The sequence below is a fragment of the Homo sapiens genome, chromosome 3 (assembly GCF_000001405.40).
Source record: "Homo sapiens chromosome 3, GRCh38.p14 Primary Assembly".
Classification (NCBI taxonomy): domain Eukaryota; kingdom Metazoa; phylum Chordata; class Mammalia; order Primates; family Hominidae; genus Homo; species Homo sapiens.
This window is the reverse complement of record NC_000003.12, coordinates 50,398,307-50,420,030: the sequence shown is the minus strand read 5'-3', so window position 1 is coordinate 50,420,030 and position 21,724 is coordinate 50,398,307. Positions and strand designations below refer to the sequence as shown.

Below are 21,724 nucleotides of genomic sequence, written 5' to 3'. Positions count from 1 at the left end.
CCGCGTCTCCGCGGGGGACCTGGGGAAGCAGGGCCTGGCCCCAGGGAACTGCTGGCCACCCTCTCCCCTGTGGCACCCTCTGTGGCTTCCCATCATGCCAGGGGAGGCATTTCTTTTCTTTTTTCCCCTAAAGCCTACAGCACCCAGTTTTCCCATGTGGTCTCCCATTCCAGTACTAACCAGGCCTGACCCTGCTTAGCTTTTGAGATCAGAAGAGATAGTGCACGTTCAGAGCGGTACAGCCATAGATGTGCAGGGAGGCGTCTGAGGGTTCCAACCCTAGGTGTCGCTGCCAGATATGGGAAACGGCACCAGCTCCTGAGGGCTCTGTGTGTGCTTCCGCCACATCCTGCATACTCACTTAAGGCTACAGCATGTGCCCATTAAACAGGCCGGGATTTCCTCAAGTAGAAGGGGCCCCGACTTTCCCATGAGGGTGCTTTTAACTCTGGTAGCTTCAGGTTCACTCCCGAGCCCAATGGTCATAGGATGGGAAGGGCCCACAGGGTTATTCATCAAGTGAGAAGCAGCCCAGGTTTGGTGTCATGGGCCTCAAGGTCACCAACGGGGTCACCAATGTTTCCCTTGTAGAATTCCCGACTCAGAGCTCCAACCATGGTGTCAGGTCCTGGCTCATGTGGTCAGGACCCCAGGTATGCTAGAGACCCAGGTCCTTGACCTCAGGCAGCCAGAACAACATCTCTAATTATGGGGCTGGAGAAGGGCTGGCCCATCCCCCTTTCCGAGGCAGTGATCCGTTAGCCCATCCCTAACTCTGAAGGGAGATGCCACCATGTCCTCAGGTCCCTGTTTTAGAGAGGGAGCCCACTAAATGGAAGTTCTTCCTTGTATGATACCATGATGCCTCTTGCAAAAGCCTAAGCCTCTTTCCGTGGCTCCGCCTCTAGAGAACTTCAGCTGAGACTCCCCCTCCCATAATCTCTCCCTGGCCCAGGAAATAGGGATTGAGTCACCAGCTCCCCATGTTCCTCTCACCTCCCCCACTCCTCTGCAGGCTGAGCAACTCCATCTTAGGGCTTCCAGATACAGCCCAGAGCACACAGACTCATCCAGGATCATCCCCCAACTCCCACACTGAGACGCTGCTCCCCATGGTTGCATATCTCCCTCCCCCAGAGGCCAGGCTCCCCTCCATACCCGCAAAGGCTCAGGGACTCAAAATCCCAGCCATGCCCCAGCTGTGAGGGAGAAACAGGGGAACCCCCTCAAGGCCCATGCCTCTGAGGGGCCCCACCCCTGCATTCCTCCATCCCTCCACCTCATTCTCCCTCTCCACCCTGCAGCAGCCAGTGGACACAGCTGGGCATCATGGGGAGCACCAGGATGCCGCAGAGAAGAGGCGGCCATGGCCCTGTGGAGCTAGAACAAAGATCCCTGCACACTGGCCCCCCAAGCTGCCCTGCATTCCCCTCCTGAGGCTTCCTGCACATGCCCTGCTTCACAGACCCTGAGGACACCCTGACCGGCCCTGGGAGTGCTCAGGGAGACATCCCCAAGGAGTTGAGTGGGCCTGTGGCAAGATTTGGGAATGGGTGAAATTAGAATTAGCCAGGAAGAGGGAAGGGCAGGCCACGTAGGGGCATAGCACAAGCAAAGGCAGGAAGGGGCTTGCACAGGGGCCTGGTTGGAGTTCGGGGCAGTGGAGGGCCAAGAAGGTAGAAAGAGCAGTGGGAACTTTGAACACCACACAGGGATTTCAACCCTGGCATTGGACACTCTGGAAGCCCTTTGAGTAAGGCAGGGGTGTTACTTGTTCATTTTACAGACACATGTTGAGCACCTACTGTGTGTCCTTCCCTGGTCCAGCCCCAGGCAGTGCCCTCTTCTGCGGCTCTGCAGATGGCGAGGTGGGGGTGATCACAGAGAAGGAGCCTATGATCCCTCACAGGGCAGGGTGCGGTCTCTTTGGGCCAATAGGAGCACAAGTACAGTCCTGCCTCTCACAGCACTGCCACCACCTCCCATCTGGCCCCTTCGCGGGGCCCATTAATTTCCAAACCTGATACAGGCAGGGATGTGTGGCTCTTCCTCCCACTGTAGCACATGTTGGTGCTCCCTGAACCCCATCCTGCCAGGCTCCACCCATCCATTCATTCCCCACGTACACACTAAGTGTCTACTGTGTGCCAGATCCTGCACTAGTTGCTGGGGACTGCACAGCGACAGGTCGGCCTGGTCCTGCCCTCAGGGACCTTGTGGGCCAGGCAGGAAGCAAAGTAGATGAGTAATGTGAGAATGCATAATGGGCTGTCATAGGTGCCAGAGGACAAGCAGCAGGGGGGCAAGGAGAGGGTGCTGGTGCCCTCCCCACATCCACAGGTGCAAACCTGGAGCCTGCACAGGCATGAAGACAGTGAGGAGGAGGAGGAGGAGGCATGCCTTCCTCCTGGCTCTGGGCCTGCGCCCCACCTACCCACCGGTGATCCAGCTTCCTGAGGATCTGTGGGGTCCTCCCCGCTGCCCAGCCCTGTGAGGGAGCAGGTGGGGAAAGGTGCAGTGTAGGCACAGCAGACGGCGCTGGACCATCCTGGGTTACCAGCCCCAGGCCACCCTGAGCAGCTGCTGATGTCAGCAAAAGAGACCCCCCAAGTGCCCTTTAGAGTTCACAAGCAAGGGTTGCAGGGCCTGCCTAGGCCAGAAACAAGCAGGGTGTCTGTCAGCTCATGGGGGTTGTCATGTGGTTGGGATGTGCCCTGTGTGGATATCAGGCATGGTGCTGGGTAGATATGTGTGCCTGTATGTATGGCTAAGGTGTGGGCCAGGGCCACAATGGCAGAGCCTGCATGTATGGGGGTGTGTGAGTGAGACATGTGTCTACACCAGAAGAGTCTGAGGAGATGGGGTGGGAGGAGAAGGGAGAGCTCCACCACCTCAAAGTTCCTGCTGCACCAACAGTCTCATCTCACAGGCTCTCATGTGGGCATGCTTCAGGCACCCACAAGTGCATGTATAAAACCCATGGGCACACATTTCTCCCTGTTCTTCCCCTGTCTGCAACCACAGGAGCACACGTAGAGCCCATGTCCCCATGTGGAACCTGCAGTGGACATGCACACACACGTGAATGGGATACATGTGCACATGTGCATCTCAGCCCATCATGCCCACGTGTATCTGTGTGCACCCGATGGGCACACACACACACTTTCACTCCTGGTGTGCAGCCCTATCACAGCTGTGATATCCCTTTCTCCACTTGCCTCACCTCTGCACCTAGAGGTGGGCAGGTCCAAGATGAAGATCTCTATTTTACAGACTGGAAAACAGGCTCAGAAAGGAAAAGAGACTTGCCCGAGACCACACTGTGGCTCCGCGGCTCCAGCCGGGACCCAGGTCTTCTGGCTTCCCAGCTAGGTCTAACGTGGCCCCACTGCATGTGCTGTGATCTCCACATTCCTCTGCACAGCCCCTGGGGCCCAGGACAGAGCAGGGGTTTTCAGAGCCCCCCACCATTCCTGTCTGCCCTCCCCTCAGGGGGGCACCCTGGAGCCCAGAGTGGGGAGTGCCAAATCAGGGGTCACCCCGCCGTGGAGCTCTGAGCTCACAACCATAACAGTTTGGGAAGGAGAAACATTTCTCTGGGCCTTGTGTACCACCTAAAGGTGGCCTATAGGAGAAATAGAGGTCTCAGCCGGGCCTCTGCTGCTAGCCCCATCACTCCTAGCTCTATCTCACCCTCCTCCTTTCTTCCTGGGAATCTCTCCCCTCACGCTGCATCCTTCTGGTCCTGTCTTCTGTCTTGCCCCTCCAAAATTCCCTCTACCCTCCAGGGGTGTTTCTGTGTTTGTTTCAGCAGCTCCTGACATTCCCAACTGGGAAGCTCTCAGAGATGGGCCATTCTCCAAGCCCCAAATGGGCTCAGCCCTGGCCGAAGGAGGGACAAGGAAGAATCAGTCCCCAACATGACCTCAAGAAAATCTGGTGCAGAGTGGCCACCTCTGTAAATCAGCTGATGCCTGCACCACTGTAACCACAGCTGTTGACAGGCTGCAGGGCAGAAGCTAAGCAGGAAGAGGCCCAGAGCAGAGGGCAAGTGAGCACGGCAGTAAGAAGTTGAAAACCATTAATTGTCCGTCCAGAGGAGGCGGATGCCCACAACATTCTGGGCAAAGGAGATGGTGTGTGCAAAAGCACGGAGGTGTGAGAATATAGCATAGTAGACATTCATCATTCCTTTCTCATGCACTGGAGTGTCTGTGCAGCCAGGGTCCTCCCATTCATTCATTGATTCATTCACCTGTTTATTCACCAAATAGTTACCAAGTGCTGGGCACCCTCTGGAATGGGGAAAAACAAACAGCATTGTTCCTGCCTCAGAGAGTGCACAGCCTGTTAGGAAATTGCAGGACAGAGCAGTGAGTTCCTTGGTGAGGGGCACACAGGCACTGTGGGAACCTGGAACAGAGGACCTGATGGGGACACACAGACACCTCAGGAGCCCATGGTAACCCCAAGGAGGGGTCTGGGCAGGACCAGGGCTTATCAGCAACTTTTTTTTCATTTGTCAGCCTTTGATATCCGATCTTCAGCGGCTCTCATAGGTGACAGGACCGTTAGCAGTCCAGGTCTGTGTCCTTCATTGCACAGATGGTGAATCTGCAGCCCTAGGCCTGGAACTCAAGTCTCCAGGACTCCTGTTTCCAGAGTATAATTGTATTGACAAAGCTCATCCATAGTCAAACCCAACCCTGGACCCACACGGGGCTCAGCTCTCTCTGCACAGCACCTTCTGTAGCCCAAAAGTGGAATTGCAGACCCAGGACACTGCTTCTCTGGCAGAGCCAGCCCTGGCTGGGCTCCCTCACATCGGAGCCTGTGCCCTCAGTCTAGCAGGAGCCACTGGGGGCCTTGGGCATTTCATTGGCCGTCAGTGTCCCACCACAGAATGTCAACAGGATTCCTAGCCTGCCTATCACACTGGGTGGCTGTGGAGATGGAGAGTGTTGGCCCCCATGACCCGCGTTCTCCGGGAGGCCTTTCTGCTGAGGGGAGGAAAGACGGGCCCATGGCTGGCTTTCCCTCCTCCTCAGTGCCTCTGAAGCCATGCGTCACTTACAAATTCTCTTCATTTCTAAATAAAATGATTTGTTAATTTGAGTGAGTGATCACTGTGCGCCTGAGCCTCTTTGCAGGCCCAGGAACAGCTTGTGGGCTCCCGGAGCCCTGCGCCGCCGGCCTGGCGCAGACTTGGAGGGGTTGTTTTCGATTTAAATGTGAATTGAATGAGGAGAAAAATGTTTCTCTTGGCAATTTCATAGGAGCTCGCTCTTCTGACAGATGTTGGAGTTTATTATCCCATCGGGCCAGCGTTTTGTAGAGCAGAATTGCTAATTATTTCAGAGGCCTGGCCACAGCCGAAGAAGGAAGGGCAGTAGTGGGTGCAGCTTTGGGCGGCATCTGTCAACAGGGCTAGGCAGGCACTGGGATGAGACACCCAGCCTGCCACCCTTCCACTGCCCTCCCAGGATCTGCTATTGTTTTGGAAGGGGGGCTGCCCTGTCCCTTGGTTTCTGTTTCATGGTTTACCCTAGAGGAGGCAGCAGGGTCTGCTCTTGCCAGCCCTGCTTTGACCTCATGTTGAGGACTCTGGAAGGTATTTTTGGGGTCTTAAATTGCTTGTTTGTTTAGAGAGTCCACAGGTTGTGGATGAGAAGACTGCAGAGACCCCAGTGGTTTTCTCCCTGTGTGAAGGCAGAGCTGTTCACTGTAAGGACCATACCTGGGCTTGGCCACGCTTGCACGGTGCGGGTATGTGGCTCGGTGGCTCTCTAACCTTGGGCTCTGTGTGGGCCTGTGGGGGTTGGGCATGACTGTGTGCTGTTTTTGCGGGTCCAGAGCTGCCTGGCGTGACTGCATGCATCTGTGAATGAGATGTCTGTAGCTGTGCTGCATGGGCCTCAGAGGTATGGTTCTATCTAACTCATTTCTGTCCCTGCACTGCAAGGTAAAGGAGGCTTTGGAAGACAGATGGCCAGAGGGCACTAGACATCAGAAGGAATGGGCCAAGACTGGCTCAGCTACTTTAGGGATGTCCCAGGTTTCAAGGGGGCTGCATGGCAAACTGACTAGGGGGGTGGGTTTCATGGGGGAAATGGGGCCCTGGCAACCGAAACCCTGGCTTCTGCTTCATGCAGCTGAGGAGCCTTTTATTTATTTATTTTTTGAGACGGAGTCTCAATCTGTCACCCAAGTTAGAATGCAGTGGCACGGTCTCGGCTCACTGCAACCTCTGCCTCCCAAAGTCAAGTGACTCTCCTGCCTCATCCTCCCAAGTAACTGGGATTACAGGCGTGCGTCACCACACCCGGCTAATTTATGTATTTTTAGTAGAGTTGGGGTTTCGCCATGTTGGCCAGTCTGGTCTCGAACTCCTGGCCTCAAGTGATCCACCCACCTCAGCCTCCCAAAGTGCTGGGATTACAGGGGTGAGCCACCATGCTCAGCCAGCCTAGGGACCTCAACCTCACTTGGGGCAACTTACAACGGGGAAGCATCCCACCCTCCCAGCAGAGGCCTCAAGAGTCCCGCAGTGCTTGGTCCAGAGGCCTCCTGACTCCACACAGCCATGGCCCAATTCCAGTTAATGGTCTCTGACCCAGGGCTGAGGGTCAGGGGTTGGAGAGAGTTGGTAGAAGAGGCAACAGTTCCCCCTGCAGTATTCTCTGAAAACCACCCCCACTGAGGAACACCCTCACTTCTGCCCTATTCTTACCCCCATCTCTCCTTCCTGAGCCCTGAGACAAGGCACCAGATACCCTGACTGCCCCCAGTCCTGGCCAGCTCAGGATTCAGGCCTCTCCCTTCCCCCTCCTCATGCTCCACCACCACCCCCCTACCCCAACCAGCTCCGCTTCCTAGGTTTAACACAGAGGTGGCAGCGGCAGCAGCAGCTGGGTGGGATTTTATAACCCTAATTCACACTGATCCCCTGGGGCCCTAGCTCTAGACTCCTCATGCAGCCTGAGACCAGCAGAGCACAAGGTGGGGAGGGTCCACCCTCGTGCCAGGTGAGGGAAGATGGAGACTCGGCCTCTCCCTGTCCCAAGTCCTGGGCCCTGGCAGTCACCCTAATAGAGGGCACCGGGAGACCAGGGAGGGGGTGCCCAGCACCCCCCCAGGCTGAGATGGTGCCAGACATCTCTGACCATGAGTCCCTGACAACCAGGCCCTCTCCCCTCCAGATAAAACTCCACGGTGACATCCTTCCATTAAATAGGGCATGTTCAGAAAAGAAAATTGCTACTGTTTTCCCCTTTTACTTCACTGTCATCAAAAATTGATCCCATATTGCATCCTTATTTCAAAGAACGAGCTAAAAAAATAAAATAGAAATTCCCACTCCTCAGAGCAGCAGCTGCATCAAGCCTCCCCCACCCCTATCCTCTCCCTCCCCACCCCCTGCAAAAAAAAGAAAAGAAAAACATGGCCAATGAGGGAAGGCGCCTGCTGGCCGCCTAGGGCTGTTGAGTGCCCATGGCTTTGGGATGCACGAGACCTGGGAGCAAGGAGGGGCTCAGCACGTGACTGTGCAGGCAGAAGGGGATTTCGATCTGGTGAAATGTGGTAGAAAATGGGGTAATTGGGGGAGGTTAATTTGGATCTAAATGGAGCGATTCGTTATCTCAATAAGAAATGTCTCGTTTTCCAGGGAGACGGCTGCGCCTGCCAGATGCTGGCCTGCCCACCATTGGGGTGGTGGCTCAGAGCAGGGCCCACAGCCAGCCTAGCCTCACAGGGCAACCCACCCTGCCCAGATGTGGGGGTTGTGGGCAGAGATAGCTTAATTTGGTTGATTCCCCAACTCATTTGGCAAAGTATTAATTAGCTCTTCTCAAAAGCACATCCAGTAAAATTGCAGAATATGAGTAACAATGACGGGGCAGAGGCCGAGGTGAGCAGCCTGCAGACTAGGCACTTGCTCTAGCTGAGCCCATGGGCTCACCCTGAGCCTCCTGGAAGTCAAGGGAGACCTACCCAGTGTTTTGTGTTCTAACCAGAGGAGAAGCCCAGCGTGGCTTGCCATGGGAAGGTGTTTGGGGGTTGTGGGGGGATTTCCAGGATGGTGCCCCTCAGCCCATGCACCTTTGCTAGGAGCAGGGTCTGGGAGCTGGCACCTGGACTGTAGTGTGACCCTGGGCATGTTGCTCCTCCCCAAGCCTCAGAGCCCCATTCGTTCTTTCCCAGGGGCCACAGGCAGAGGCTGCTGGCAGTGCTGGGAGTCCTGGTCACACAGGTGTGACCATCTCAGGCTGCAGCTTGGAAGGCCTGGGCTCAGCAGCTGAACAGACTTAGGTGTGGGCTCCAGCTTCTCCTTCTGCCAGGTTTGTGGACTTGGAGCACTCACTACATTGTTTTGAGCTTCCTCCTTCTGAAAAATGGATTAAGTAGCACCAGCCTTGTGCCCCTATGATTGTGACAGTCACATATGGACAACAGGTACCCATAAGTGAAAACTAGAATCACAAAAGCATCTGGTGGACAGTCGGTTGGGAGCTGGCGCACAAGATTTCCTTGGTCTAGCCTGGTATTGGCTGCACTGTGTCTGGAATGGAGCTGGGGGAGAGTGAGCATGGAGACAAGCGGAAGCCCCTCCCCTCCACTCTGGTGGGGCCAGATCTGACTCATCCTATGTCTCTAGCACCAAGTGCAGACCACGGACATGGTAGCAGAAAGAAGAAAAGCCCTGGAGACTGAGGCCCTTTCCTTTTATTCCACACTGTAGTGTTGGTTGAGATAACACAAAACAAAATGATCACAGGCTGGTGTGAGGGCTGGGAGGGAGGTGAAGCAATGAACAAATTGAGGGCACATTTGAGGAGCGGTCCCCTGGGTGAGGGCCAGACAGGTCATAGCCAAGAAGCTCCATTTGGCCAGGCATGAGTGGGCAGGTGGTGGAGCCTATAGGTCCTGGAGCCACAGCCCAGTGAGCCACCCCACACACAGCCCCAACAGGAACAGCCCTTCCCTGCCTGTGCCTCAGGAGGGGAGTTCTGGATGTTAAAGTTGTTGGTGAACCAAAAGCAAGGACCCAGACACCATATGCACGTGTGCCTGAGCACATGTTGGCAGCATGGATGTGCTTTCCCATGTCTGCACATGTGCACATGTGTTTATGTACACACACACACATCCTCCTTCTCTAACTCCAGGCCCTCCACCCCCAGGATTTCAAAGCTGTTGACCTCAAAGTCAGATGGAAGAAACCTCCTCACCCACTCCCACTAAAGCCACAGACCTCTGACATCACCTTGTTTGGAACAGCTCCCTCCGTGGACACCCAAGAGGCCTGGTCACAGGGGTCCCACTTACCCCCTTTCCCTTGGAGGAGTCCTGCAGCGGAGTGGCCTTGTGGGCAGGAGAGCAACATAGGACTCTGGAGTGCTGAAAAGAGCTCAACCCAGGAGTGGGCTGGCAGGCCTGGGCCAGGCAGAGCAGTGGGCTGGGAATCAGGTGGCCCAGAGGCCTTGCATACCTTGTGTGGGTTGAGGCTGGGCTGACTCTGGGGCACAAAGACAACACCCCCCCCCCCATCCCAGGGAGCACCCAGCTCTGTGGGTTCGGGGAAGGGACACCAACCCCAAGGTAGTGAGCATGCTCTGTGCTTAGCCTCACTGCCTCCTGCTCACACTAGGGGATCCCCCTTCTGCAGAGCCTCGGTTTCTTCACCTGTGAGAATGAGTGAGGATGGCTCACAACAGAACTTCTGTCAGCCTTTCTATGCAAGAGTGGCCCTGGGGTCTGCCCAGCCTTCTGAGGGGATGGTCCTGTCCCAGAGTTTCTGCCCTGCCCTTTTTCCAGACAACAGTCTTTGATCTAGGCAGGGCCAAGCACAGCCGCCCCCAAAGGGTCACTGGGCTCAACACTGACCCCCAGCAGTGTCCCCAGCACTGATGCCATGTGGGCTTGACCTGAGCCTGGCAGCAGGCTAACCACAGGTAGAAGAGGGTTCTTGGGGGCCAGAGCTCGCTGGGTGGCCTTGGGGAGTGTATACAACTCCCTGCCTTCTTCAAGGACCCCTCCTGCCTCCTCTGGCCTCAGTCTATGCTCTGGGAAAGTAGCAAGAACTCCAAGGCCACATGGGAAGACAAGTGCCCTGAGATCGTGGAGGGAATCTGAGGCAGAGCTTGGACCCTCTCAGGTCTCCTCGTGCCCGCTGGGTCCATCCCCAGCCACACAGTGTCTCCCACTCCACGCTGTCTGATCCACAGCCAGCCAGAGGCCCACTTCCTCCTCAGAGAGGGCTCAGGGTGTCTCCTGGGCTAATCGGCAAGTAGGGGAGGGGGACTTGATGACACAGCCCAGGTTCAACCTTCCACCCTGCCCTCAGAGAGCCGTGGCCACAGATAAGCTGAGGAACCACCTCTGAACTCAGTTTCCTCATCTGCAAAATGGTGTAGAAATGAGACCTGCTTTGCAGGGGCTGCTGTAGGGATTAATGAGCGATGCTGGCCACAGCAAGTGCTCAGTGGCATCGCCCACGATGACAGCTCCGTGTGCAGCACAGGCGGTGCTGGTGCTGGGTCCTACAGGGGCTCTGCAGGTGCAGGAATTCCTTGCCAACCCATATATTTCAGGAGCACTTTTTGTTCAAAGCCCTACTTGGTCAACCAGCCATGGGGCTTTTCTCCCTGGAAAACCCCTGAACCTTCCCTGCAGCTTGCTCTGCTGCCTCCTCCAGGCTGCCCCCACCTTCAGGCAGCCCCCAGGGTCCACACTCCACTTCCAGGGTGTTGTCTGACTCTACCTCCAGCCCTTCCTCATGAGCCCAAGTGCTGTCGGCCTCCATGTGGCCAGCACTTCAGCGTTCCTCTGTTTTATCATTAATGTGGCCAGTCTGCCTGGGTGGATGGTGTCATTTTCCCATTTTGCGGGGAGAAAAACTGAGGCCAGGAAAACCAAAATCACTCAGGGTAGATCTGAATCCAGTGTGGATCCATCACTAGAAGGGTCTCTCCCTCAGAAAGTCCAGCCCAATGGGCTGAGGAGGTCGGGGGCTAAGCCAGCTGGGATTCAGGGGTCCCTTTCCTGGGAGATGGTGTAGTGGATAACAGACCCTTGTCCCAGGGGAGAGAGACTGCAGCCTGAATGAAGGGAGAGGCGGCAACGATGCCCCAAATATTGCAGGCACATGTACACGACTGCTGTCCTGCCCTCTCCAGTTGGTGCCATGGCTCTGTGGCCGTTGCTAGGCATCTGTGAGGCCCAGGTGGGCCCTACCTGTCGTGGAGTGGCTGTGCAGTGTGGGGTAGGCCTGGGCCCAGGCAGGAGCAAGGCCGCCTCCGCCTGCCCACCCTCCTCTCACTTGGCAGCAGCAAGCAGAAGCCATTAGCGCCTGGCAGTCCGTGTCCCACGGCTCTGACAAACGCCTTAAATGTTGTCACCACGGCTCCAGCTGTCCCACTGGCCGCCTTTACTCCTCGTAATAACCAAGTGTCGAGGCTGATTGCAGCAGCAGGATGCAGCCAGTATTCAGAGCAGCTCTTACCCTGGGCATTTCCACCTGGCAGCCAGGCTGTGCCCTCCCTGCCCACCACCTCCAGCCCTTTGTCTGCCTGTCACCTCTGCCTGGGCCCTCAGCATCATCCCCGGGCCAACCAGTGCTTGGCTTTGTGTCCCAAAGCTGGTGGGCAGCGACAAGGTGGAGCCTCAGGCGTCCACATCCAGCAGAGTGACAGCCTAGCTGGAAGAGTCTGGCTCCTGCTCCCACTCTTCTGGATGACCTGTGCAGGGAGCCCTGGCTTTGTCTTGGCCTAGGTTCATATCCCGCCTTGCTGCCCAGGGACACAGGGAGTTGTCAGAGCCCATCCCTGGCATGGACAAAGCTGGATTCAGTTTGAGCTCTGCCATTTGATCATTGTGTGGTCTTGGGTGGGTGAGTCACCCTCTCTGAGCCTTGGTGACCTCGTCGGGGGAATGGGAATAATGATTGGGCTTCTTGGGGCTTTTTGGAAGCATGTGTGTGAAGCAAGGTGCAGATAATGAAATGAGGTCCTGTGGAAGAGGCTGGGCCATGTTCATAAGCACAAACACCTACCGCACCAATCCCTGAGTCCAGGGAGGCCCAGGAGAATCGAAGGCCTAAATCAGCTCCCCTGGCCTCCACTGCCCTCCTTCCTACCCCCACATCTTTGCCCTCTGGGCATTACTTCCCTTATCCCCTTCATCTGACCTTGCCCTTCAAGTTTTGCCTGGTGCTCCCTTTCCCAAAGCCCACCTGGCTTAGCCTAACCATACTCCTCTCCCATAGGGTTTATGTGCCCTTTGAGACAGCCTTGGATGCTCACTGTTCTCCTCTCATGTCTGCCTTCATCCTCACAGTCTTATGAGGCTGGGACTAGTAGAAGCCCCGTGTTAGGGAGGAGGTTATCAGGATTCAGAGAATGGTATCAGTTCTGTGCATTACACATGCAGCTCCTGGCTCTGCCCCATGGGGTACTGTGGCTGCTGGTCACTGTCTGCCCAGTCCCAGGTCCTACTAGAACCAGGAGAGTAAGCTAAGCCCCAGTCTCTTCAGGGGCCCTGGTAGAGTGGACAAGCACCCATTCCACCCCCTGGCCTTGAGGGCTTTCCTCCTGAAGCCCTCATGATCGCCAGGAACAGGGTCAGAGCAGGGGTCAGAGCCCACGAGTGGCAGGCCTAGGAAGTCTAATTTGGCCAGCACCATGGTTCCATCTGAGCATGTGATGCAAAAGCCACAAACAGGCCTTAAACAGGAGAGAGATCTGGCCCTGACCTGTGATGCCTCAGTACAGGTCCAGGCTCTGTCCCTAATGGTACAGTGGCCTGACAGTCCTTCCAGGCCTCAGCTCCCCCTTTGTATAGGGGGGCCAGTGGGCCCCTGACCTCGTTGTCTTCACCTTGAAGGGATGATCATCAAGGCAGACCCTGCCTGTGGTGTGTTTAGTAAGAGTGCCCAGGGCCAGTTCTCCATGTCCAAGGTCACAGATACCTAGATCAAGCACCTAGGTCAAGGTACCTAGATACAAGCACCAATATCCAGGTTGATTATGAGCTCTCTGGTCACTGAGTCATTTGTTTACAGGTTCCCCAACCCTCTGATGATGCTGGAGGGTGATGGACAGAGAAAGGTGAAGAATGAGTTGTCTCTGTCTCTTCATCAGACTCTTCTCAGGGATACAGAGGTGATGGTGCAGGTAGCAGTGAGCACAGTGGTAGTGGTGATTACCAGGAGACATGAGCACTAGCAGAGGTGACCACAGTGGGGTGATGGTCGTAGTGGTGACAGTGATGGTAAAGGTGGTGATGGAAGTGATGTTGGCAGTAGAGTTGATGGTGGTAGATGAAGATGGTGATGATGGAAGTGATGACTATGGTGATGGGGATGAAGGTAGTGATGGTGGAGCTGATGGTGATGGGAGTAACACTGATGATGATGGAGTAATATTGGCAATGGTGATGGGGAGGATGTTGGCAGTGAACATGGGGACATTGGTGCTGGTTAAGTGGGGGGAACAACAGTGATGATGGGGATGATGGTGAATGGAGTAGCATTCTGGTGGTGCAGGGATAATATTGATGGTGGGTGATGGGGGTGATAGGGCTGATGGGGGGCTCCCTGTGGAGTGTACCTCTGAGGGGCAGTCCTCCAGGCAGCCCTGTCCCACTCGTGGGCTTTGCCCTTGCTGGAGGCAGGACACAGTGGGGCTTGCTTGGTGCTTTTTTTCTTTTAACCTCCAGTGAGCACAGCCTTCTGGGTAATGAGATGCAAATTGACAGAAAAGACAATGAGCCAGCCTGCGGCCAGTGGGGCAGCTTTTAGAGTCAGGCTGATTGCCTCTGTGCCAATTTGCATGGCATTAGCTGTGCATGTCTTCTCCAATGGGTTCGTGTATTTCATTAGCGGTCACCTGGATGGCTGCATCTGACAAAGGGCAATGACCTGTGATCCCAGACCAGGGGGCAGGGGCAGAGCCACTCTGACTCTGACCTGAATAGGGCTCCAGGATGTGGCTACAAGAAGTCTGAATCTGTGGGGAAGGGCAATGGATAGGGGGTAGAGATTGGAGAGTTCTCATGATCGCCAGGAACAGGGTCAGAGCAGGGGTCAGAGTGCATGAGTGGCAGGCCTAGGAAGTCTGGTTTGGCTAGCACCATGGTTCCATCTGAGCATGTGATGCAAAAGCTACAAACAGGCCTTAAACAGGAGAGAGATCTGGCCCTGGCCTGGGATGCCTCAGTACAGGTCCAAGCTCTGTCCCTAATGGTACAGTGGCCTGACAGTCCCTCCAGGCCTCAGTTCCCCCTTTGTATGGGGGGGCCAGTGGGCCCCTGACCTTGTTGTCTTCACCTTGAAGGGATGATTGTCAAGGCAGGCCCTGCCTGTGGTGTGTTTAGTAAGAGTGCCCAGGGCCAGTTCTCCAGGTCCAAGGTCACATATTTCAGCCCACTGAGCAGACCTACCGTTTCTGTCACTGTCACCATTACTCAAGGTTATGCCTGGGATCATTCCTTGAGTGCCACCGAGGAATGAGGGGGCCTGGGCAAGATAACACCCAGGTGGTTGCCCAAACCCAGCCCTGACGCTCCTCCCTACCTCTGTCCATGGTGCTGAAAGTCTTCGCCCAAGCTGCTTGCTCTGGTGTTCCTGCTGCCTAGGTGGGCTGGGCTCGCCCCCACCCCCCTCCCCACCACGGCCCTTGCTCTCTGACCCTGCAACCTGTTTGACCCAGTGCAACCCACGACTCCATTCCACGTCCCTTCCCCAAAACAGGCAACAATGGGGCTAGAGGTTCTTCTCCACTACCCTCCACCCCCAGCCCAACCAGTGCCCCATCGGGCACATTTCAGGGCCCTTTTGTCCCCACCTCCCTCTTCACTGTCCCACTCCTTCTCCTGAGGTTGGGCCTAATCAAAGCTAATCAGAAAATTATGAGCTGTCTGATTACTGATTAGATTCCTAATGTTAATAGAGCTGAGAAGGGCCCGCTTAGGCTGTGTTTTAGGAAAAAGTATAAAAATAACATCATGGGAAGGGAGCCTGGAGGTTGGGCTGGGACTCAGGCTCTCTTGTTCTAGCTGGGGTGGGGTCTCACTCTCAGCTTTCAGGTGGGAATACATTCCCATGCAGGGGAGCTTCCTAGCACCCTAAATTCTTCCAGTGACGGTGCCATTCCAGGCAGCTCTTCCTGTAGAGGCCTCTAGCAAGTTCTCTGCTCAGGGCAGTGGGACTGAATTGCAGTGGGAAGAAGTTAGGTGGACTATAAAGAAGAACTTACTGCTGGCACCCCACGTAAGAGCAGGGCTATGTCTGTAATGCTCACTGACCTCCTCAGGCCAGTTTACTGCACACAGTAGGTGCTCAGTAAACATGTGTTGACAGGAAGGAAGGAGAGTCATATCAACCTCTTCCCATGGGAACTGTCACCCTCCCATGTCCTGCCCCTGAGCCATGGTGGGCATAGAGGCATCTGAGAAGGCTTCTTGGAGGAGGATGTTGGGGCATGTCAGGAGAATGCACTGATCTGGCACCAGGGCAGGGGTGCTGAGCTCCCTGGGGACTCAGCTCCTGGCTGACCTGGCCAGATGAGGCACTCCTGTCCACCACCCTCTGCCTCTCATTCCAGCAGAGCCCCGGGGACTTCTGCTAATAACCATGTTATTACTGACCTGGCAGCAGCTGGGTGGGGCTAATGGGTAACATTTTCACAAGGTCCAGAGTGGAGTTGTGGTCCTGGAGAGCAGACTTCAGCAGTTCAGACCCCAGAGGCTGCCCCTCGCATGCCTCTTCGTGGAGAACACAGTGAGGCCTGTACTTAGATTCAGCCTCACCCCACTCACACCTTCACCCCCCACACCATCTTGGATCCCTATTCTCTGTCATCAGTACCATTTCTGACCGGGTTTCTGCCATCTCTATCCCAATGAAACCCAGGGCCTCCAAACCAGCAGATCCCCAAGGGCAACTCCTGATCCACCCCCTGACCCCTTGACTGTGATGGGAGCCTGAGGTCACTTAGCATTTCCTCACTGAGCTGGCTTGCCCAGCACTGGGGCCACACAGATCCATGAATCAAGTCCCTGCCTTCAAGGGACCACATCTGGGAGGGAATCAGGCACATGCAGTGATGGAAACCCCAGGGCAATTGTGGGAACCCAGCCCTACAGGGCACCAGGATTCCTGGAGGAGGCAGAAGAGCAGTGGCTCCTACAGGATGAGGAGGAGCTAGCCAGGGGAGGGGATGAGAAAGGACACTCCAGGCTTGGGATACAGCACAAACAAGGCTTTGGAACCGCAGCATGGCAGGAAGGCAAACTTCAATGTCAGTGTGGTAGAAGAGAGATGAGGTTGGCAGAGCCTGGTAAAGGATAATGTTAGGAAGGGAGGAGTGGTCCAGGCATCCGGGAAACACAGACAGGTCACAGAACTTGATGGGGAAACCTGAAGGTGTGGGGGCTGGGGCAGATGAGTTCATGATAACCAGCTTTGGTTGGGAGTCTGAAGGTGGGTTGCAGGGCTTGGGAGAGGTCTGGTCAGGAAGGCAAGGAAGGGGTCATGGGAGTAGGGCTGGAAGCCAAGCAGGGCTGCAGGGGGGTAATGAACAAGATCTCCAGCGAAGTTGGTGCTGAGGAGAAGGGCAGCCCGTTGGCATAAACTGAAGAAGAAAACAGGTCAGGCCAAGTTTAGAAGGCCCTAGAGAGAAGCTGAGTTTGGGGGAGGGGGAACCAGTCAGGAGGCCCCTGGAGTGAGGTAAGGGAAGGAGCAACCCAGAACCTGGAGTTGTGTCTCCAGTTTCCAAAGTGAGTCCCCATCCCGTTCGCTGTCTATGCCCTGCTCTCCATCCACATCCTCACAGCCCTGGGAGGGGCCCTGGCAGTGTTTTGGTCCCTCCCTGTTATAGATGAGAGATCAAGGTACAGAGAGGTGAGGGCAGTGCTCCCCAAATTATGTGCTGGGTCAATTGCCAAGCCCTAGGAACTTGGGTACCTTGGCCTCTGTGGCTGGACAAGGGAGGAGGGCACTGTCACACTCAACGACCACCCCCGTGCCCACACATATCTCTAGAATGGGGACTGATGAGGGGACAGGAGGCAGCACCATGCCCCACAGAGCACTCAGATAAGGATGTGTCCCTGCTCCCCTAGCCAGAGTGGCCGACGGCCCCTGGATGGGTACCCTCACCCAATGCTATCTGCATGGTTTTTTCTAAGGATGAGAGAAATGTTGATGAATTATGGATCATAATTTAGGGGGAGGGAAACTGACACAAAACTGGCAGAATTCTGATAAATTCCACCTGGGTTGCCAGGGACTGACTGACCTGCAGAAATGGGTAAGTTTCATGCTGGGGTGCCAGCTAGGTTGGTGGATTCCCACCCGTTTGAGCCCCTGTGGGATGGGGCTGAGCAGGGCAATATCTTGGAAAGAGCCCCAGCAGCCTGGAGTAGCCTTCAGCTCTGGGTTCCTTGAGGGTGAGGTGCCTTCATATGGCTGGGCTCTGAAGCCACAGTTCAAATGTGGACCTGAAGCAGTTTGTTGCATGTATTGGTTTATTTCTCATTGGGGCATCTCTTGCAAGTGCTCAACAGGAGACCTGGGAGCTCAGCAGGGGACTGGGTAAGGCAGAGACCTGCAGCCCTGAGACCAGACCTTTCCTGCAGCACGTGGTTGTCCAGGTCCACCCACACGTCCTCCTGAGTCAGCCTGCTGCTGCAGAGTAAAAATCTCTAGAGGGTGGGTTTCACTCCCATTTCCAGAAAACTGGTCTGTAAATTCAAGCTGGTTTCTGCAAATGCTCAGCCCAGCCACAGAGGCCCCTTGCCTCACCCTCTCCCTGTTCACACTGGACACATTTGGCTCCTGTCCCAGGACACACCCGACCTCTTTCTGTATTGATTGTGGTTCCAGTTTAAAGCAAAAAAGCAATGAAAGCCAGTGGAATACTTGTTACCACCTGTGAGTGCCACTTCCTTTACTTCCTTGGGAAGGGATCCCAGAGCTCATGGCCTTCCTCCTCTTGATGTTAAAACGTCCACTTTGGCCGGATGCAGTGGCTCACAACTGTAATCCCAGCACTTTGGGAGGCCAAGGCAGGCGGATGACTTGAGGTCAGGAGTTCAAGACCAGCCTGGGCAACATGGTGAAACCCTGTTGCCACATGGTGAAACTAAAAATACAAAAATTATCCAAGCGTGGTGGTGGGCGCCTGTAGCTACTCGGGAGGCTGAGGCAGGAGAATCGCCTGAACCCAGGAGGCAGAGGTTGCATTGAGCTCAGATCGCACCACTGCACTCCAGCCTGGGCAACAGAGCAAGACTCCATCTCAAAAAAAACAAAACTGAAAATAAAAATAAAACGTTCACTTTTTGGTAACATAACAGTAATAAGAGAGAGTGGGAGTTTTTTTAAGTGTCCTCTCTTGGCAAAATACAACATAGCAAGGATCCTTGGGAGCCCAGGATGTTCTGGGAAATTCTGTCTGACCTGAAATTCCAGCATCTGGGATACCAGGCTCCCCACCCTGGCTGGTCACAGTCATTCCCTCTGCTTCTCCATCACAGGCCACCCCTCATTTCTTCATATTTTTCCTAGGAAATTGAAGCACAGCCTGCCCCTTCCAGGCTGGACTGAGGGGGTGCAGGCACTGATTACCAAGCCTGTGACACCCACAGGGAGGTGTCAAGCCTGGACTTGGGTGGAGTGGCGGCTGCCCTGCTGCAGAGGGAGACCACAACTCGAATGAGTTTTTCCCTGTTACATGGATTCTGACCTTTTTTAAATTAAAAAAAAAATCCATTTTACTAATTTTTTTTATCAATTTGCAGAAGACGCATGAGTCCTGTGAGGGAAAAGGTCAGGGAGCCTGTTGCTGCCAACAGCGGTGATGGCCTCCCATGCCAGCCTTCCCCTGAGGCACCCTCTGTGCCAGAAATGTTTATTTTCCTTGCAGGCTTCTGTTTGCTGGAATTGTGGTCTGGGGTTTCAGTGTTTTTTGTTACTCTGGTGGTCATTTTATCTTTAAGGTGTAAACATGGTTAATACAAAAAGAGTAGGTTTGAACCTTACGATGTGCCATGGGCCAGGCGCGGTGGCTCACGCCTGTAATCCCAGCACTTTGGGAGGCCGAGGCAGGAGGATCACTTGAGGTCAAGAGTTCAAGACCAGCCTGGGCAACATAGAGAGACCTTGTCTTATAATAATTAGTTAATAAAAACTATAACAAATTTGTTAAGGAAAAAATAAAGATGAGACAGGAGCCAAGTGTGTCCAGCGTAGATGCGCCAAGGGGCGAAGGAAGGGGCCTTGAGGGACGGGTAAGGCTGGGTGCCCGTCCTGTCCCAGGAGGCATGCATGTCAACAGTGCACCCGACAGGAAAGCACAGCCACTGGCGTGTCTCCATCACCCTCAGCACGTAAGTCACGGACCCTGCTCGGCCCTCACTGCCCATCCTGCTGCATTTCTCTTCATCCCTCAGAACCCAGCAAAATGTGGGGTCGGGGCAAGACATGCCCTCAGAAGGTTGTAGTGAGTGAGACTGTGTCCATAAAGCTCTGAGCACATCATGTGAGGGCCACAAAGTCGCTGAGGTGGCCGTCATGCATGTAGCAGGCACTGTCTGTCCACACAAAGCCTCCCTCAGACCACGAGTGGTGCCAGGACAGGGCTGAGGGGATTCTTTTGGTCCCTGACTGTGGACGCACCTGCTTGGAGCAGGAGGTGGATGGACAGACAAATGTCTGCTCAAGGCCGAAGCAGCAGCAGCAGAGGCCCACAGGGCCAGGGCCCCCTAACCCCACCTGCACTTCTGCCCCTACTGTCAGCCCTGGGGCTCCAGCTCCCCCCTGGCAGAGCTGCATCTTGCTTCATTATTATGCAGATATTTTAATTATGCAGATATGTTTTTAGACAGTTTTAAATATGTATATTATTTACTCATTAGACCATAACAGCTCTGGAAATTGGAAATCTGTATTTAGTATCTATCTGTGCACAATACACAGCTAATGCAGGACCCACAAGTTGGGAGGGAAGACGGGTGGCAATGGGGCCAGTGCTGGGCTAGGCAGGGGCTGCTGGGCATCCTGGTACTTGTCCCCTCCCGTGGCCTGGATCCAGTGATACCAAGGCTTGTGGGGGCAACTCGGAGGGACAGCTGGGAGGCCAGTTACTGATCCTCTCTCCTAGGAGAAGGGCAAAGGGACCACTCTAAGGGGTGGCAGGAGGGACCTGAGTCCAACCAGCCAGGCCCCACCTGGCCAGGGATGGTCCTTTCCTGGAACAGTCACTGTCCAATACTGCTGGGCTTTACCACCAGGCGAACCTGGGTTTGATGCCCCCTCTTCCTACCTAGGGGTCTGGGGCAGCTACACTAATGCTTTGAGCCTCAATCCCCTCGGCTGTGAAAGGAGGGGAGCAGGAGAATCTACTTCTCGTGAGTCTTGCTGGGGAGGCAGCAGTGAAGCCCTCACCCAGGGTAGGCACTGGACCACACCTGGTGATATCCTGTCATTGCTACCTTCCTTGCAGCCCTCGGCAACATTCTCAGGGCATACTACCCCCAGCCTCCACCCCAGAGCCCACGCTCCATCACAGCTTCTGCCTGGCTCAGCCCTCAGTGCCCTAGATCTCAACATCCTGCACCCCATGGGTTCAGAGCCTTTTCTTCTAAGCCTCTCATGTCCTCTGGGAAGTGGGAGTAAACATAACTAATTAAGACCAAAGAACTCTTCCAGCCTTTCCCTCTGGGCTGTGCAGAAAAAGTCCTGTTTGATGGGCAGTTGCTCCTCAGACCCTTCTGGGCCACCAGCACTGGGCAGGGAGGGACTCCCAGGTGAGGGCTGGTGAGGAGAGGAGGCCAAGGAGAAGTGTGGAGCACCTAGCCTGGGGGTGGGGAGGAGCAGGCCATCTAAGAAGGTGGGGGCACCCAAGAGCCCCAGCCCCCCATCACCCAAGGCCCTCCCCTCCTGGCATGCAGGGGGCCTTCCTATCCCAGGTGTTGGCCTCTGAGGGGTGCCCATCCTGGCCCCAGGTCCCTGATCTCAGGTTCTTGCCTGCCTCAGCTCCCACTGCAATTGAAAGCTGTTTAACATAGTGAGATTTGCAGGTATCTGTGCAGGGCTGCTCCCAGGGGAGTATTGTCCCCAGCCCAGTGCACGACGAGTCCTCCTCTTTCTTGCATTTTCCTGTAAGAATGGTTCCCAGAGCTGAGGGAAATTGATTGTTAAGTGAAACTCTCTGATAATTGCCTCTGAAATGCCTGCTGTTATCATGATGGACTTGGGTGTGAGCATCCCCACTCAGCAGTCCCACTGAGGTTCCCTCCAATACCCTGGCCATGATGGGGACGTCACGGGCCAGGCAAGGCACCATCAGTGACTTCATAGCCGCATCGCCATGGGCAGCCCTTACCCCCCAGGATGTGCTGAAGAAAATAGACTCTGAGAGGTTAAACCACACACCCAGGATCACACAACTGGCTGGGCAGAGCCAGGCCAGACTCAAGCCCAGGCCTCTACACAGGTCCAGAGACACCCAGTTTTCATTTAGCAGACATTCACTGTGCATCTACTGTATGCCCAGGGCCAGGTTACCATAAACTTGACAGCCACAAGACACTTACCCACCAAACCCAGTGCTCAAGGGGAAAGCAGACATGGAAGAGGGTTCGCTGAGTGTCAGGGTCAGGAAGTGGATGTGGCTAGAGGAGTCTGGGCAGGAGTGGCCTGGGAGGGAGCAGCATGTGC

The 21,724-nt window shown here is 55.2% G+C and overlaps 1 protein-coding gene and 1 pseudogene across 6 annotated transcripts in view, besides 5 other annotated features; one reads left to right on the top strand and one right to left on the bottom strand.

Moving 5' to 3' along the window:
* Positions 1–21,724, top strand: part of CACNA2D2 (calcium voltage-gated channel auxiliary subunit alpha2delta 2) — a 141,632-nt gene that overhangs the window by 84,214 nt on the left and 35,694 nt on the right. The window lies entirely within an intron of this gene.
* Positions 132–250, bottom strand: RNA5SP131 (RNA, 5S ribosomal pseudogene 131; annotated as a pseudogene).
* Positions 839–1,775: an enhancer, noted in NCBI's record as "H3K4me1 hESC enhancer chr3:50455687-50456623 (GRCh37/hg19 assembly coordinates)". NCBI's record gives its function as "activates a minimal SCP1, AML or CMV promoter by ChIP-STARR-seq in primed H9 embryonic stem cells {active_cell/tissue: H9 hESC(primed)}" and the evidence as "EXISTENCE:reporter gene assay evidence [ECO:0000049][PMID:30033119]".
* Positions 7,620–8,119: an enhancer, noted in NCBI's record as "H3K4me1 hESC enhancer chr3:50449343-50449842 (GRCh37/hg19 assembly coordinates)". NCBI's record gives its function as "activates a minimal SCP1, AML or CMV promoter by ChIP-STARR-seq in naive and primed H9 embryonic stem cells {active_cell/tissue: H9 hESC(naive and primed)}" and the evidence as "EXISTENCE:reporter gene assay evidence [ECO:0000049][PMID:30033119]".
* Positions 14,466–14,666: a silencer, noted in NCBI's record as "peak4651 fragment used in MPRA reporter construct". NCBI's record gives its function as "represses an SCP1 promoter by STARR-seq MPRAs in K562 erythroleukemia cells {active_cell/tissue: K562}" and the evidence as "EXISTENCE:reporter gene assay evidence [ECO:0000049][PMID:32103011]".
* Positions 18,811–19,311: an enhancer, noted in NCBI's record as "H3K4me1 hESC enhancer chr3:50438151-50438651 (GRCh37/hg19 assembly coordinates)". NCBI's record gives its function as "activates a minimal SCP1, AML or CMV promoter by ChIP-STARR-seq in primed H9 embryonic stem cells {active_cell/tissue: H9 hESC(primed)}" and the evidence as "EXISTENCE:reporter gene assay evidence [ECO:0000049][PMID:30033119]".
* Positions 19,312–19,812: an enhancer, noted in NCBI's record as "H3K4me1 hESC enhancer chr3:50437650-50438150 (GRCh37/hg19 assembly coordinates)". NCBI's record gives its function as "activates a minimal SCP1, AML or CMV promoter by ChIP-STARR-seq in primed H9 embryonic stem cells {active_cell/tissue: H9 hESC(primed)}" and the evidence as "EXISTENCE:reporter gene assay evidence [ECO:0000049][PMID:30033119]".